Source organism: Homo sapiens, chromosome 15, assembly GCF_000001405.40.
Source record: "Homo sapiens chromosome 15, GRCh38.p14 Primary Assembly".
Classification (NCBI taxonomy): Eukaryota; Metazoa; Chordata; class Mammalia; order Primates; family Hominidae; genus Homo; species Homo sapiens.
The window spans coordinates 69,210,484-69,228,162 of NC_000015.10; the positions used below are offsets into that span (position 1 = coordinate 69,210,484).

Consider the following 17,679-nt stretch of genomic DNA (forward strand, 5'->3'; position numbering starts at 1 on the left):
TTGATTAAGGTAAGATTGTTTAATAAAATTTAATTATACCAATACTATGCATTTTTAGACTTATATTTTAATGTGTATTTGATTAACACATTTAAATTTCCCAGTCTAATCTGAGATTCTGACCTCAGGAAATATTTTCATGGTTTCTTTACCACTTAAATAGCTAATGTTCCTTGTAACAACTACTAGATTCAAGGGAAACATGATTATACATTCACTGGAAGTGTTATAGACTGATATCAAATCTGTTTGCCTAGAGCAGGAGTCAGCAAACTATGGCCTATGGGCCAGCCACCTATTTTGGTAAATAAAGTTTATTGGAACACAGTCACACCCACTTAATACATATTGTGTGTGGCCATCTTAGCACTACATTGGCAGAGTTTTTAGTTGGAACAGTGTCTGTATGGCCCACAAGCCTAAAATCTGGCCCTTTTAGGAAAGTTTGCTGACCCTTGGCCTAGAAAACTGAAGCAGGGTATCTTATTCTGCTATGTAATTATAATACATGAAATGGTAGCTAACTGATTTTAGTTGTCAGTAAGGCTTGTTGTATGAAAACTTATTAGAGATTTAAATATGCATATAAGTATATGTGCAGATACAGGAACTCTAATTTCTTGAAGTGAAGGGTCTGTATTATTTCTTGGGAGGTGCTAGTTTTCTGAAGTAATTGATTTTTAAAATAAGACTTAATGTTAGCAGTTAAATACTATGCTTATTTTTTAAGTAGAAGCCTTCATTTTGCTTAGATTTTCAAAAATAAAAGTTTATATGATAAAGGTCAAGCTTGTTCTCATTCTAAAAACTATTCACACGAATGTATTTGATTATATTTGTCTCTCCTACTAAATTTAAACTGAACAAATAATATTTTGAGAGTGATGATTGTGTGTTTTTAATATCTGTTCTAGTAGTGCAAATGGTTTAGCATATATGAACTTAAATGAAAACTTGCTAATATAGAACTACATTTAGTGGCTAAAGTTGGAGTTACGTTTCTCTCTGAGGTTTAAATGGAAACGCTTACACTTGTTTGTGATTCCTAAAATTATTAGTGTTTAAATAAACATAAGATAGAAGGAGAAAATAAAATTGGAGCCTAGAAAGTCTATAAAATCTTTGCTACCCTCCTCAGAAGTCTCTTGGCTGAAGAAAAAAAAAAGTATATTTTAAAAACATGCCATATAAGTTAGAATTTCCAACCAATATCATAAAGGAATTTCTCTGTTCAGGGCACCAAAATTAGAAACAAATTATTTTTGCTATTTCCCATGTAATTTTAAGAAAATAAAGTAAGCTTCTAAAATCTTCATCTCATAAAGAATGATTATTTGATTTGAAAACAGCCTCTTATATCCTGCATAACCTGAAATATATTTGGTTTCCTAATAGACTTGTGTGAGGTATCTTTGCTTTCATTTTCATAAAGTCAATTTAAAACTTTTTAAAATTTACTTTTTAAAGGAGGGAATCTGGAAACTTATCAGAAAGAAAATACTTTGCATCTTTTTGTGCCATCACACATTTTATATTTAAATCAGTATGGATTTAGAATTTGAGTGCTTATACATTTGAGTTATGAAAGATGATAAAATTAAGCTGCAGAAGGGATGGAAATCTTGATAGCTTTAATATGTTAATGAGGCCACCTTAGCATTGTGTGTGTTTAGCTGTGGAGAGTATCTGATTTGTATACTAAGACTTAGGAATAAAATAATCAATTTCTTACGAATAAGTAAAATTTCCTCTTAAATGATGGATGATATAAGAAGGTAATGCTAACATTTTTTGCATCTATTAAAATCATATCTTAAGACATCTTTTTTTAATTTCCCTGATTTGTGTTCTAGTTGTGGTACTTAAAAGTAAAACAAGGGGAAATAAACTCATAGGAAAGTTTATACTTTGATTTTCTCTTTCATATAATCTTAGATTATTTAGATTTTTCTAACAGCATAAAATATTTCATTATAAAATCAAATACTGAGTCATTGCCAATTTGATAGTATCATTGAAATTAAATATGTGTACTTTAAAGACAGGCATAGGATTTTTTCTTTTAATTGAATATACTGCTTATCTTTTAAAGTATATGTGGCTAGATAAGAAAGGACCTGAATGGACTTGATTTGGAATTTTCTCTGTTCATGTCTTTGAAGGTATTCAGACTAAAAGAGAATGTCAGCTTTTTAACTTTGTAAAACCTGGTCCATATTACCGCATAGCTGTTAGTTACAGTAGCTATTTGCAATGTTGAATTTTTGAGATGAGTATTTTTACTGCTAACGATGTGGACATGTGTATTATTTTCATATAACTGTCAGGGCAGTAAAGAAACTAGTTAGGAAGTCAACCTCCAAGATTTATCCTCATAGGAGACAGTGTTAAAAATCTTACTTTAGTTGACCACTATGGGGTTTTCTTTAAAATGTTAAATAATGTTTTCGAATAATTTGGTTTTTGTACCCATTTTATCTTCTACCAAATAAATTTAAAAAAATCAAGTTTATACACGTAATTTGCTATCAAGAAAGGTATACTGCATTTGAAGGAGAAGAATAACGTCTCTTTTTCTCTTGTTTAAAGCTCTTGAAAAAAATTTTATTTTGAAATAATTTTAGATGTACAAATAAGTTACAATGATAATATAGTACAGAGAGTTTTTTTAATATTCATTACTCAGCTTACCCTCATGTTAACATCTTACATAACCATGGTATAATGATCAGAACTAAATAATCAATAATGACTTACTAAAACTACAGACCTTATTAGAATTTCACCAGTTTTTCCACTAATGTTCTTTTTCCAGGATCCCATATTACATTTAGTTGTGTTTTTCCTTAGTCTCCTCCAATCTGACAGTTCCTTAGTCTTTCCGTGTCTCTCATGATTTTCACACTTTGAAAGACTCCTGGTCAGGTATTTTTGTAGAATGTCATTCAATTAGAGTTGAGTTTCTCTGATGTTTCCTCATAACTAGATTGAAGTTACAGATTTTGAGACAGAATACCACGGAGGTGATGTGCCTTTCTCAGCACACAATATCAGAAGCCACGTGGTGTCAGAATGTCCTATTACTGGTAATGTTAACCTTGATCACTTGATTATGGTGGTGTCTATCAGATTTCTCTATTAAAAAGTTAATACTTTTCCCTTAATTAGTAAATATTTGGGGGAAAATGCTTTGAGGCTTCAAAAATATCTTGTTTTTCCTTAAATTTTTGGCCACTAATTTTAGCATTTATAGGTAGATCTTGCCTGCAGCTTCTGTGGTGTTTTAGTGGTGATTTTCTATTCTCCGTATTTCCTCTACATTTATCAATTATAATTCTTCTGTAATACAGAGTAGTCCCTGCTCACATTTATTTACTTAATCATTTACTTATATCAGTGTGAACTCATAGATATTTATTTTATTCTCTGGATTAGAATCAAAATTCTGTTGTTATTTATTTTGTTGCTCAAATTGTTCCAGCTTCAGCCACTGGGAGCGCTTTTCAACACGTCATTGTCTTTTTCTTTTCTTTCTTTTTTTTAAAGCAATTCCTTACTTTCTGACTTTATGAGATGCTTCAGGCTCATCTTGTATTTTCCCTGCTTTAGTCCTGAAATCACTTACCTCTCCAAGGAACCCAGGTCCAACTTATTGGAGAATAGTATTTAGAAACCAGCATCTGGGTGCTAGGTATGTTCATTGCTACCGAGGAGTTACTGCTTTTAGGCCTTTCAGGAGTCAGAGTTAGGAAATGTATACTGATATGGTTAGGCTTTGTGTCCCCACCCATATCTCATCTTGAATTATAATTCCCATAATCCCCACATGTTGAGGGAGAGACCTGGTAGGAGGTGACTGGATCATGGGGCAGTGTCCCCATGCATTTCTTATAATAGTGAGTGAGTTCTAATGAGATCTGATGGTTTTATAAGTGTCTGACAGTTCCTCCCTTACACACTTGCCCTCTTGCCTGCTGCCATGTAAGACATTCCCTTCTGCCATGATTGTAAGTTTCCTGAGGCCTCCCCAGCCATGTTGAACTGTGAGTCAATTAAACCTCTTTCCTTTATAAATTACCCAGTCTTGGGCAGTTCTTTATAATAGTGTGAAAACGGACGAATTACATATACCAACTCACATACATACATCTATATTTATTTGTGTTTACTTTCTGTATACACGCTTAAAATTTTAATTCATGCTGATACCTTCAACTCCAGTTTTGCACCACAGGGATTATTCTAGCATTTCCCCTTTGCTTATTTGTAATTTCTTTCTCCCACAGTGAGAAACCTGACTCTCATTCTCTACACTATATTTATGTATTTATTATACATATATAGTAGTTTCCAAATTGCTAATCCATACTCCTGTGAGAAACAAATTTACCAAATAGAATACAGTGTTTGTATACAGTTATTTTTATCTTTATTCTCACATTATCCAGCCAGAATGCTTTTTTCCAAAGTTAGTTGTCAGGTCTTTTCTTCTGTATATCCCCATCAATCTACTGTGCCATTTCATTTGTACCACAGTTAGATTCATTTTGTCACAGTTCACATTCCATCTTGGGTTTCCCTGATATCCTAGTTATTTGCATTTAATTTGTATACAGTAAAATTCATTCTTTGTGTTGTAGTTTTGTGGATTTTGAAAAATGCATAGAGTCACATATCTACCAACAGCAGTTCTGTGACCACCCCCGCACCCCCAATTTTTTTGTGCTGCCACTTTGTAGTCAGCCTCTCTTCCAAGCCCCAAATCCTGGCAACCCCTAATGTGTGTTCTATCCCTTTAGTTATTAGCCTTTTCCAGAGTATCATATACATGGAATCATATAATATGTAGCCTCTTAGGTCTGGCTTCTTTCATTTAGCAAAATACATTTTAAGTTTCATCCATTTGTTGCATAAATCCTTAGTTTATACCTTTTTGTTGCTGAGTAGTATTCTATTATATGTACACGATTTGCTTATTCATTTATCTGTTGTGGGACATCTGGGTTGTTTGCAGTTTCAGTCAATCGTGAATAAAGCTACTACATTTACATAAAGGGTGTGTGTGTGTGTGTGTGTGTGTCTCTGTGTGTGTGTATACATAAGTTTTCATTTCACTTGAGTGAATACCTAGGAGCAGGATTATGGGCCTTATCTTAAGTGTATAGTTAACTTTATAAGAAACTGTTAAACTATTTCTAAGTGAATATACAATTTTGCATTCCTGCCACCAATATATAAGAATTTTTGCTGTTCTGCATCCTTGTCAGCACTTGATATTGTGCAGTATATTTTTGCCTTTTATCTGTTCTAATGTATGTGTAGTGGCATCTTGTGTTTTTCTAATGACTCATAATGTTGAGCACCTTTTTATATGTCATCCTTATATGTTTGTGAAAAGGTAGCTGGTCTCTTTTATTTCTCTGTATTTTCTTCTTTTATGATCAGCCAAGTAGATAGTCTTTCCAATATCTTTTTGACCAAATTAGCTGTTATTATCTCTGACTATTTAGCTATGCTTTATAATAAAATACACATTTTCATATATGAGTTTTGGTTATCTGTAACTATTCCAAGGGAAGGTATGTATAGTTTTATATAGGTGAGTATTTGAATGATAATTTTATTGTTGTCTAAAGCTAGATTGCATCGTAGGAATCTATCCAAAGATTACATCTGTGACTGAAAAAACATGTAAAACAAGACGAAGTGTAATAAATACTGCTAGTGCTGAAGATTGGCATTGGATTGACAAATGTTACTCTAGAAAAATAAATTTTAGAGTCTTTGGTGAGATCTTTTCACCTTTGAGTATCAAATGGACAAAGAAACCTGATACTGTCTTAGGATATCTGTCAATATGGACAAACTTTGGTATGTTCTTACAACTAATCAGTTAATATTAGGTGAAAGAGATTAGAAATGAATGTTTTTAAACTTGGGCTACTTTATATAAACATTTAAACTAGCAACTTAAAATACTTAGGACTTATATTTAGTTTCTGTCAGAATGGAATGAAGACATAGCAAGTTTCAGTGGTAGTTTTCTACCCTATTTAAGCCTGATACTTACTATTTCTTTTTGTAAAGACCTATGTTTAACCCATTAGAATATGTGCGGGGATGCCATGTTATTTAATTAGGCCTTTCTATTTGTTTGCTGTATAACAAATAGAAAGTTATACAGCAAACTGTATAGCTGCTGTATAGTTCTTGCCCTTTTAAGAACTTTACTATATTACACAAAATAATATGCTTAGATTTGAAAAATACTGTATGCCTAGATTTGGAAAATAATATATGCCTTAAAGGATAGCATTCCTGTCACATTATGTGAGTAATTATGATTGATTCTGTTGATAATTCTAATTAGCTAAGTGAGTTCCCTATTTCAGTAGGAGATTGTTTCCTATTTCAGTAGGAGAAAGCCAAACGAAACAATGTTTTATTTACATATTCAGATTCTGAAAATAACTTTAGTATTAGAAGTCATTACATATGGGAAGATGACTTTTTCTGCTTTAGAATAAGCGTACCTCTTTAAATGTCCTATTTAATAGTGTGATCACATGACTGATATTTCTAATGGCTAAACCCAGTGTTGTTATTATGATGATGATGACAGTCTTTGATTTAAACCAAAGCCATTATAGAAAGGTCTGCCCTTTCCAATATAAAACTTATAAAACATATATATATAAATTACATTGGATGTAACTTGTGTATATATAACTTACATTAATGACTGCTGTAGTCATTGTATATATCTTACATTGTTGTCCCTTCTCAGGCCATATTTGTAAATGAGATGTATTTTTTGTTTGTTTTTTATTGATCCTTATTCCTAGAAATGTAAATGAGATGTAAATAAGACCAACTGTTTTCCAAGACTTGTAAAAGTAGAAAAATTACTATATATACATATATTATAAATATATATTTTATTTCCTTTTTCCCTTCTCTTGAAAAGCAGGAAAAAAAAGAAGAAAGAATGTGGGTTTTTATTTGTTCTGTAAGGCCTTGATAGCAGCCTACTTCCTTGTTTATAGGAGACTAGGAACTTTGTGACTTCAATTGAGTATGCTTTAGAACCTGAAACATAATAAAGTGGCACCTGCTAGCAGTTTTGCATGTATGACAGTTGACATTATTAATTTCACTTTCATTGTTGAAATCAGCACTTCTGAAATTGGGGTATTGAAGAAGGATGGAATTTAACTTCTTTTGAACAGCTGTTCTTTGGTTGACTCTGACTCAGACACTTTGTTTCTTTATTATTTTATTTAATTCTTAAATTTAATCCTCACAATTTATTTAGTCTTCACAATTAGCCTACAAAGGAGGCGTGATTACACACATTTTACAAACAAAATTTATTCAAAGGAACACAGCAGGCCAGGCGCGGTGGCTCATGCCTGTAATCCCAGCACTTTGGGAGGCTGAGGCGGGCAGATCACAAGGTCAGGAGTTCGAGACCAACCTGGCCAACATGGTGAAACCCTGTCTCTACTAAAAATACAGAAATTAGCCGGGCGTGGTGGTGCGCACCTGTAATCGCAGCTACTTGGGAGGCCAAGGCAGGAGAATCAATTGAACTCAGGAGGCGGAGGTTGCAGTGAGCTGATTGTGCCATTGCACTCCATCCTGGGTGACAGAGCGAGACTGTCTCAAAAAAAAAAAAAAAAAAAAAGGAAATTCACACTTTTATCAACTATACTATATTGCTTCTTCTAAGACTAGAAAAATAGGCCAGGCACAGTGGCTCATTCCTGTAATCCCAGCATTTTGGGAAGCTAAGGCCGGTGGATTCCTTGAGCTCAGGAGTTCAAGACCAGCCTGGGCAACATGGTGAAACCCCATCTCTGCCAAAAAAATACAAAAAAATTGGCTGGGTGTAGTGGTGCATGCCTATAGTCTCAGCTACTTGGGAGGCTGAGGCTGGAGGATCGCTTGAGCCTGGGAGGCAGAGGTTTCAGGGAGCCAAGATCAAGCCACTGGAGTGAGACCCAGTCTCAAAAAAGAAAACAAACAGAAAAAGAAAAGTGATGAGAAGTGTTAGAAAATCTCTCTAAACTTAAGCCTGTGGGAGGGAAACTAATAATTAGACAAGACTGAAATTTCAACCTTATGTTTAATTAATAATTAGACAAGACTGAAATTTCAACCTCACGGGGCTTCACTTTTGGAAAACCTGTTTTATGTGTGTTATACAAGAGAACTGTCAGTATAATACCTATTAATGCTAATCATATGGCTAAATATCCATTTGATATCTTGGAAAAGATTATCTAATAACATTACTGATAATTGTTTCCTTAGAAACAAATTATCTGTGAATCAGAAATAATGCACATATCTGCATTGCTGTTAGCAGTAAAAATACTCATCTCAAAAATTTAACACTGCAAATGTAACTTTCTGATAGTCCAATTAAACTCTTAAAATGATACTTAGTATAATATTTGTAAAACAAACTCATATAGCTGCAAATAATACTTTTAAACTGTTTTGTCAATAAACTCATTTTATTGTAGATCAGTAAATTCTATTTCCATAGTGATTAAACCGTCTTTATCTTAATGGTATTGATAGTAATATAGTAATGTTATACTGTGAACATTAATAACTTCATGTAGAATTGTCAGTTGTAAGGGTTTTTCTTAATATTTTTGTTATATTAGCAGTCTTATTGTATACTTAATATAAATTTATCTATAGTCCAGTCATTATTTAGTATTTATTTCCAGCATATTAATATTCCCAAATCAATAAAATACATAACATGTTTCAAGGATAATGAAATTGTATAGACAGTTGTTTCAGTATATATAAGCAGTCAAACTGTAGATTTTCTGTTGAAAAAGTGATAAATGTTAGTTGACATTTGGTAAGGAAAAAGTCCAATAATTTAATATTTTTTTTAATAACATCCTAGGGTAAAGTATGTTGTAATACTAAGTAGTATATATAAAAGTAGTATCTGAGTCTGTGTATTTATTTCAGTGTTATAAGTAGAACAACAAAGTTAGAAAGCTGCAATGGAAAGCAAAGCCTTTGTAAGTAATCACAAGACTTGGGTCTAGTGTTGGTGCAGCCAGAACTAGTTGTGTGACTTTGGACAAGTCATTAAACTCTAGATCTTATTTTTTTGTTGTTCTTCTTTACAAATAAGCTGGTTGGATTACGGTTTTTAAGATTATTGCCAGTTCTGTGATTCTTTTTTGTTTTCACTTGTTTAAATTGTGTTAAAATACACGTAATATAAAATTTACCATCTGAACTATTTTTAAGTATATAGTTCAGTGGTATTAAATACATTCATAATGTTGTGCATCCATTTCCATTACTCTTTCAATCTTGTAAACCTGAAACTCTGTACTGATTAATCAGTAACTCCCCAGTTTTCCCTTCCCCCACTCCCTGGCAACCACCAGTCTACTGTGTGTCTTTATGATTTTGAATAAGTACCTCATACAAATGGAATTATAGTATTAGTGTTTTTGGTGACCAGTTTATTTCACTTAGTATAATGTCCTCAAGGTTCATCTATGTTGTAACATATATCATAATTTCCTTTCTTTTTAAGGCTGAAAAATATTTTGTTGTATGTATATACCACATTTTACGTATTCATTCCATTGATACACTCTTGGGTTGCTTGCACATTTTGGCTATTGTTAATAATGCTGCTGTGAACACAGGTGTACCAATATTTCTTTGAGAGCCTGTTTTAAGTTCTTTAGGGATATACTGAGAAGTGGAATTGTTGGATCGTATGGTAAACTCTGTTTTTAAATTTTTGAGAAACAGTCATACTGTTTTTCCAGAGTGGCTGTACCATTTTGTTTTTCTTATTTTTTAAATTTATTTTTCTTTCTTTTATACAAACCTGCACATGTAAGTGGCTGTACAATTTTACATTCTCATCAACACTGCACAAGAGTTCCATTTTCTTTACATCCTTGTCAGCACTTGTTATTTTCTGTTTTTTGATAATGGGTATGAGGCAGTATCTCATTGTAGTTTTGATTTGTGTTCGTTAATGATTTATGATGTTGAGCATCTTTTCATGTGTTTCTTGGCCAATTATGTGTATATTCTTTGGTGAAATGTCTATTCAAGTTCTTTGCCCAGTTTTGAATTCGGTCGTTTGCTTTTTGTTGTTGAGTTTTAAAAGTTATCTATATATTCTGGATATTAATCCCTTATCAGATACATAATTTGCAAATATTAGCTCCTATTCTGTGAGTTGCCTTTTTACTCTGCTGATATTGTCTTTTGATGCACAACATTTTAAGTTTTTCATGAAGTCCAAATTGTCTATTTTCTCTTGTTGCTTGTGTCTTTGAGTAATATCCAGGAAATCATTACTAAATCCAATATTGTGAAGCTTTTGCCCTGTTTTCTTCTAAGAATTTTATAGTTTTAGAATTTATGTTTAAGTCTTTCATCTATTTTTGCATATGGTAAGGATCCAGCTTCACTCTTTTGCATATGGATATCCAGTTTTCCCAACACCATTTGTTGAAAAGACTGTGCTTTTATTCCCCTTTGGGTGGTCTTGCCACCCTTGTCAAAAATTATTTGATTATATATTTGAGAGTTCATTTCTAGGCCCTCTAGTGTATTCCATTGATCTATATGTCTATGCCAGTACCATACTGTTTTGATCATTCTAACTTTTGAAATCAGAAAGTGTGAGTCTTCCAACTTGGTTCTTTTTTAAGATTGTTTTGGCTATTTGAGGTCCTTTGAGATTCCATGTGGATTTTTGGTTAGGTTTTTCTATTTCCGTGAAAAACATGTCATCAGGATTTTGATAGTGATTGCATTGAATCTGTAGATTGCTTTGTGTAGTGCTGACATTTTAACAATATTATGTCTTCCAATCCATGAACATGCGATATGTTTCTATTTATGTCTTCTTTAATTTTGTTCAGCAGTGTTTTGTAATTTTCATTTTACATGTCTTTCACCTCCTTGGTTAATTTCTAAGTATATTATTCTTTTTGATGCTATAATAAATGGAATTACTTTTGTCATTTTCTTTTCAGATTGTTCATTGTTATTATATAGAAATTAACTAATTAAAAAAAATTAGGCTGGGCACGGTGGCTCATGCCTATAATCCCAGCACTTTGGGAGGCTGAGGTAGGTGGATCACCTGAGGTCAGGAGTTCAAGACCAGCCCGGCCATCATGACGAAACCCCGTCTCTACTAAAAATACAAACATTAGCTGGACGTGGTGGTGGGCACCCATAATCCCAGCTACTTGGGAGGCTGAGGCAGGAGAATCACTTGAACCTGGGAGGTGGATGTTGCAGTGAGCCAGGATCACGCCACTGTACTCTAGCCAGGGCAACAGAGTGAGACGCTGTCTCAAAAAAAAAAAAAAAAAAAAAAATATGCCCTGGCTTTTAGAGTTGCCAGAGTTCTTGTGCTGGTTCTTTCTCATTGATGAGGGCTGATGTTCTTTTTTCCTTTGAAGTTGCTGTCCTTCAAATGGGACTTTTTGTTTTTATGATCTTTATTGCCTCAAGAGTTTGCCTGTGGCACAAGTTGCATGTGGTTGAATGCCTTTGTTTCTGAATGCTTTTAAAGGGCCAAGGTTCAGCTTTACGCTCATGGGCTGCATGCTCTAACTCTGGGTGGCCTGGACTGAATCCACAGCTTTGTCCACTGATTCCTCGAAGCTGAGCCCAGGCTGGGCTAGAGGGGCTGAGGTACTCCCAGACTGCTGACAACAGCATTCCATGAGGTATGGCAGCACGGGTCCATGGGCTTAAGTGCTCCTGTGGGAGCATTGCAGGTGGGAGGCATTCTGGCAGGGGCACCATGGGTGGGAGGCAGGGGTGGTGGAGGCACCACGGGCAGGAAGTGCTCCAGCAGGGTAGTTGAGGCTTTGCTGTGTGTAGGCACGACCAGACAGGGACTATGCGAGGGGCTGGTGGACAGCAGGGTGCACAGATCAGGCTCACCCTGGTCCCACAGGAAAGAAAGCCCTGTTCTCTCCAGGTCTGGCAGCTTATACAGGTCAGAGCCACCCCTTCCTAAGGAGCTGTTTAGGGCCTTGAACATATCCTGGCACTTGGCAACCCTGTGTGGGGTTCCCAGTTTCCTCCCCCTTCAGTCCTGGCATCTAGGTCATCTCTCTAACCTCTTTCAGTGTGATTTTCTCAGATTGTCTGTCTGGATTATGCCAGTTTAGTTGATACTCTGGTCTATCTCAATGGGAGAAGTTATTTCTGGCTATGACTAGTCAGCCATCTTGTTTGGGTCCTCTGCAACTGATTTCTGTTCATATCCTGCTCCTTTGCTGAATCCATAGTTGATTTTTTTTATAGTGAAAGGTTTAAAATAATTTCACATTCCTGTTTGTGTATTTTCTATAGCTACTTTCTTTGTGGTTACCATGGGATTACAATTAACATCCTAGGTTATAACACTCTAATTTGAGCTTATAAAAGTTTAACTTCAATAATATCCAAAAATCCTGCTCATCTACAGCTTTATTCCCACACCTGTCAGTTGTTGGTGTCACAAATTACATCCTTATACATTATGTACCCACAAACAAACTGTTAAATGCGGTAGTCTCTTAGGTTGTATAGAAAACAAAAAGTGAAGTTACAGACCATTATTACAACAATAGTAGGTTTTATGATTGCCCATGTAGTTACTTTTATTGAGATATTTATTTCTGGTGTTCTTTCATTTTACCTTATAGGTTTCCATTGATCATTTCTTGCAGGGCAGGTCTAGTGGTAATGAATTCCTTCAGCTTTTATTTATCTAGGAATATCTTAATGTCTCCTTCACCTTTGAAGGACACTTTTGCCGGATATAGGATTCTTGTTTGACAGATTTTTTTGTTTGTTTGTTTGTTTGTTTTCCTTCTAGCACATTGAATATGTCAACCCACTGCCTCTGGCCTCCAAAGTTTCTGATGCGAAACATGATGATAACCTTCTTGAGAGTCCCTTGTATATGATAAGTCTCTTTCTTACTGATTTTAAGATCCTCACTTTGTCTTTGGCTTTCGATAGTTTCATTATACTATATCCCAATATGGGTCTCTGAGTTCATGCTACTTGGAGTTTGTTGAGCTCCTGGGATGTTTATACTCGTGTCTTTCATCAAACTTTGGAAGTTTTTCATCATTATTCATGTGATCTCTTTGCCTCTTTCTCTTTTCTCCTCCTTTCAAAACTCCCACAATGTATATACTCATCCAATTGATGGTGTCCCACAGATCTCTTAGATTCTCTTCATTTTTCTTCAGTCTTTTTTTTTTCTGTTCCTCAGAGTCATAGTTGCAATTGTCCTATCTTAAAGTTAGCTGATTCTTCAGCCTGCTCAGATATGCCTTTGAATCTATATAGTGAATTTTTCATTTTGTACTTCTCAGCTCCAGAATTTCTCTTTGGTTCTTTTTTAGGTTCTGTAGCTCTACTGATACTTACACGTTTTTCATACATCATTTTCTTGATTCTGTCTGCACCTTCCTTTAGTTCTTTGCACATCTTTAAGACAGCATTTAAAGAGCTATGGTAGATTTGCCATCAGGTCTTTTTCAAGGACGATTTCTATGATTTATTTTTTGCCTTTGAATGTGCCATACTTTCCTGTTTCTTTGTATGCCTTGTGATTTTTTGTTGTTGTTGAAAACTAGACATTTAAATCTATTAATGTGCTAAGTCTGGAAATCAGATTTTCTCCTTTCACTAGGGCTGGTTGTTTTAGTATTATTTTTGTTTATTGTTTTTGGTTTTTGTAGACTGGGTAAGGAAACAGGGATCAGCCTATGTCAGAGATAGAAATATAAACTTAAGGTCTTCCCAGGTATTTTCTTTGCATCTTTTCCTGGACATGCATGATCATTTTCCAGTTTTGTCCATATTTACAGTTGTTTTTGAATGTCCCAGTCTTTAATGTCTGGCTCCCAAAAGGAGAAAAAGAGAAAAATAAATACAGGAAGAAAAATTGGCTCTGGCCCTTTAAGTTCCCTGGAAGTCATTTCAGGGGAGCAGGGGGGCTCTTGCAACACCGGGAGGAGGTGCAACAACAATGGCTGGCAGCCTCTTTGACTACACCCATGTGATCTTTGGCAACAATCAGTGATCAGAGTACAGATCTCCATACCTGGAGGACAAGGTCCTTTTTGCCTACGTGGGCTCCTGCAAGCTGAGTACAAACTGCTCCAGGAGCACATGCACAGCTGCCTGCCAGGGAGCTAGGAGTGGAGGATGGCTTGCTGCAACAGTGTTAAGAGCTGAAAATGACCCAAATTAATGCACTTTATCATTTAGTCCTTCTCTTGGAAGTTGCAAGCCTTCAGTGGACTACAGAGTTCCAAGATAATTACTTTAGACAGATTCTGCCAGTGCAGTTGTTGTCTAAGTTGGGAGACAGATTCCTGGTGGTTCCTACTTTGTCATCTTTCTTGAATCCCTCTGTGATTTCTTATGGCAGAAATTATGTTAATAGTAAACTCAACATAAGTGATATAGTTTTTTGGTTCCTAATAAATCAGATTTTTGTTTTTTGTGTTTAGAATGGCAGCCCAAGATAACTATGCTGGTGGTTCTATGGCTTATGGTGCTACATATACCCATAGTGATATAATATGTCTAAAAAGGTATGATTATTGGTATTAGGAATAAAAGCTTCATTAGCCAAATATTTTAAAGCTTTTTTTTTTTCTTTTTTGCAGGGCAGAGGTGGAGAGGGGTTAGATTATTTCATCTGCCCTACAGTTGGCATAATAAAGAGTAAGCCCTTAGTTTTGGGAATGTATGCAGTAAGCTAGGCATCCTTGCGTCGGCTGTCATAGAAGTCCCTGTCCTCTTAGTCTTCAGTAAACATTAGGATATACCAGGACTTATATTCTGTACCACAGAGTTCAGCATTCAATTAAATATGGTCTTATATCATAGTCTAAATAATTTGTTAATAATTATAAGGTTTTGAGGGGCAGTTGTTATGCCTCTTGTTTGTACACACAGTGCCTAGTAGGTATTCAGTAAACACTTGTTGATTAGGTTATCATGTATAAGCAATAATTTTTTTGTGGAATAATGAAGGTCTTGAAACTTGAGTAGACATTAGACTGAAAGTATGCACAACTTCCTGTAAATTATGTGTAAATTTGTAGATTTGAACTTTGACTTGCATACTAAGGATTCTTTTACTGATTTCAGAGTGGTAGTGCTGATATTTCCTAACATTTACTGAGTACTCTCTCTGTGCCTGGCATCGATCTAAACAATTTATGTACATTAACTCATTTAATACTACATTATGAAGTATTCTTTAAATCCATATGGTATATGAGGAAACTAAGATATAAACAAGTTAAACTTTTTCTTAAATACACAGAGTTAATAAGTGATAGAGCCAGGATTCAAACCCAGAAAAAAACAGCTAAAAGCCTACATCCTTAACTTCTATGTTATACTGCCTCCCAGTGTTACATATATGACGTTTCCAATTTTTATTGGACTTAAGGGCCTAAATTCATCAAACCTCCCTCCTCTAAACACATACACGTGTGCACGCATGCACAGACACACACACACACACACACACACACAGACACACACACACCTATTTTAATCTTTTGTTATTAGATACAGTTATTAGACCATCTTGGGATCATGGCGTTTTCTGTAACTTAAACTACCTACCTTTAGGTGAATTGAGTTAGAATTGAGTATTTGACACAAATATTACTTCTATTCCAGATTATGAACATTTCAAAACTCTATTTCATAAGTAATAAACATGATTTTGGCAATATTCCAAACACTGCTGTTGTTGGAAGTGTTAGGTTAGATAGAATTCTGAGTACTTTATTAAGTTAAATAGACACTGACAAAGGAATATTTTTATAAAGATCTGATAAGCCTTCTGGTCTGTATAAACCCTGTCTGTCCTACAAGTGTACAAATGTAGAAGATAGCAAAATCTGAGAAATATTATAGTCAATTAGTCACTCCTAAAATGTAGCGTTTTTACTTTGTCCATAGTGTTTATTGCAAAACAGCATAGGAATAATGGAGTCTTAAGAGTAAAGCTCAGTTGCCAAATAGGAAAGCTTATACTAAAATGGATTCCAATTTCTTAGTGAAAATCAAAACTTGATTGCATAGAAAGTATAAGAATTTCATGTTCATGCACATCCCTGATCCATAAATCAGGACTTTTAATATAGATTTCATATCTTCAGCCAGAGTGAGCTTGCTTGCTTGCCTTTTTTTTTTTTTTTTTTTTTTTTTTTTGAGACCTAATCTTGCTCTTGTCACCCAGGCTGGAGTGCAGTGGCGTGATCTCGGCTCACTGCAACCTCCGCCTCCCAGGTTCAAGCGATTTTCCTGCCTCAGCCTCCTGAGTAGCTGGGATTACAGGCGCCCACCACCACACTCAGCTAATTTTTGTGCTTTTAGTAGAGATAGGGTTTCGCCATGTTGGCCAGGCTGGTCTCGACCTCCTGACCTCAGATGATCCACCTGCCTCGGCCTCCCAAAGTGCTGGAATTACAGGCGTGAGCCACCATGCCCAGCCAAGAGTGAGCTTTCTAATTAGTATATTCTTGAGTCGGATGTTAGTAGGGAAAAATGTGTATGTGTATAAAATATATATAATTATTGCCTAACTAAATCAAGGATGATTTATTGTTTAAATGCAATTTGAGTCAGTAGACCATGTGTAAGAGAGACATTTTTGCTAAGTCTCTAAGATTATGGGGAATATTTGTTACAGCCCCAGGCCTAGTAGATTATCCTGACTAACTAATACCCTATAGAAAGGGTATCCAGATAATCATTAGAGACCCCTATTTGTATTGGAGAGAGAACATCAGTATTAGTGAAGCCCTATGATAACTCAAGTCACTAGTCTTAAATATGATTTGTTCAATGAAGAGCTGATACTAGAGTAGGTGTGTCAGAGAAAGCTTTCTAAGTATGCACAAAAACACAGTATTTGTTAGAATGAACTGTTAGACAACTAAATCAGGAGAGTCATGAACTTTCTTTTTTCATATGACAGAAAAAAAATTAGATAATCTTTTTTGAGTGAACGCTGTGAGCCGAACATAAACCTTGCAAGAAGCAGCAAGATCTGCAAGTATAGCTAAACCATCATTTAAAAAACAGTCTTTGTGTGCAGCAAACTTGGGCATATATGCTGACCTTATACTGATAATTTCAATTTTGTTCTCACCCTTTGTTGGTTGTCCATGATAGTGTTAAATATGACTGACTAATCTGTATGGTTATAAAAGCACATTAAGGAATATAGGTTTAGTATGGTAGCATCAATCCCTTTTGTATTTTTATACATGAGAAAATTCCGCTTTTATTTTTATGAGCTTATGTGGAAACTGGGTAAGGTAAACAATGATATGTAAGAATATGACTGCTAGTAGAAGTAAATATAGGTAAGTTGCATGTTTTCTAGGAAGAGTTATTAGAGTACTGAAAATTGTCACATCAAGTATTTTCAGTTGATCTGCTAATAGATGCATTGAAAGCTAGCATTTGACATTTAAGCCTACTCTTAAAATAGTAGAGAAAGCTAGGAGGAAAGTTTTTCTTCTCCAAGGCATTATGTTCTTTCTCTACTGAAGTATTATGCTTTTCCTTCCCATAATCTGTCTGATAACATTTTTATTTTCTATG

General features: G+C 34.8%; 1 protein-coding gene across 11 annotated transcripts in view; it reads left to right on the forward strand.

The window, feature by feature from the left end:
* Positions 1–17,679, forward strand: part of GLCE (glucuronic acid epimerase) — a 111,573-nt gene that overhangs the window by 49,849 nt on the left and 44,045 nt on the right. The window contains exon 1 of one of the 11 annotated variants that reach the window (XM_017022073.2): positions 11,436–11,756. The exons of 9 other annotated variants lie outside the window; for them this stretch is intronic. In XM_017022073.2, the coding sequence (XP_016877562.1) occupies positions 11,752–11,756 (5 nt within the window). In that variant the 5' untranslated portion in view covers positions 11,436–11,751. Of the gene's footprint in view, positions 1–11,435; positions 11,757–17,679 lie in introns of those variants that run through there. One more of the 11 variants, XM_017022074.3, reaches the window with a different exon arrangement.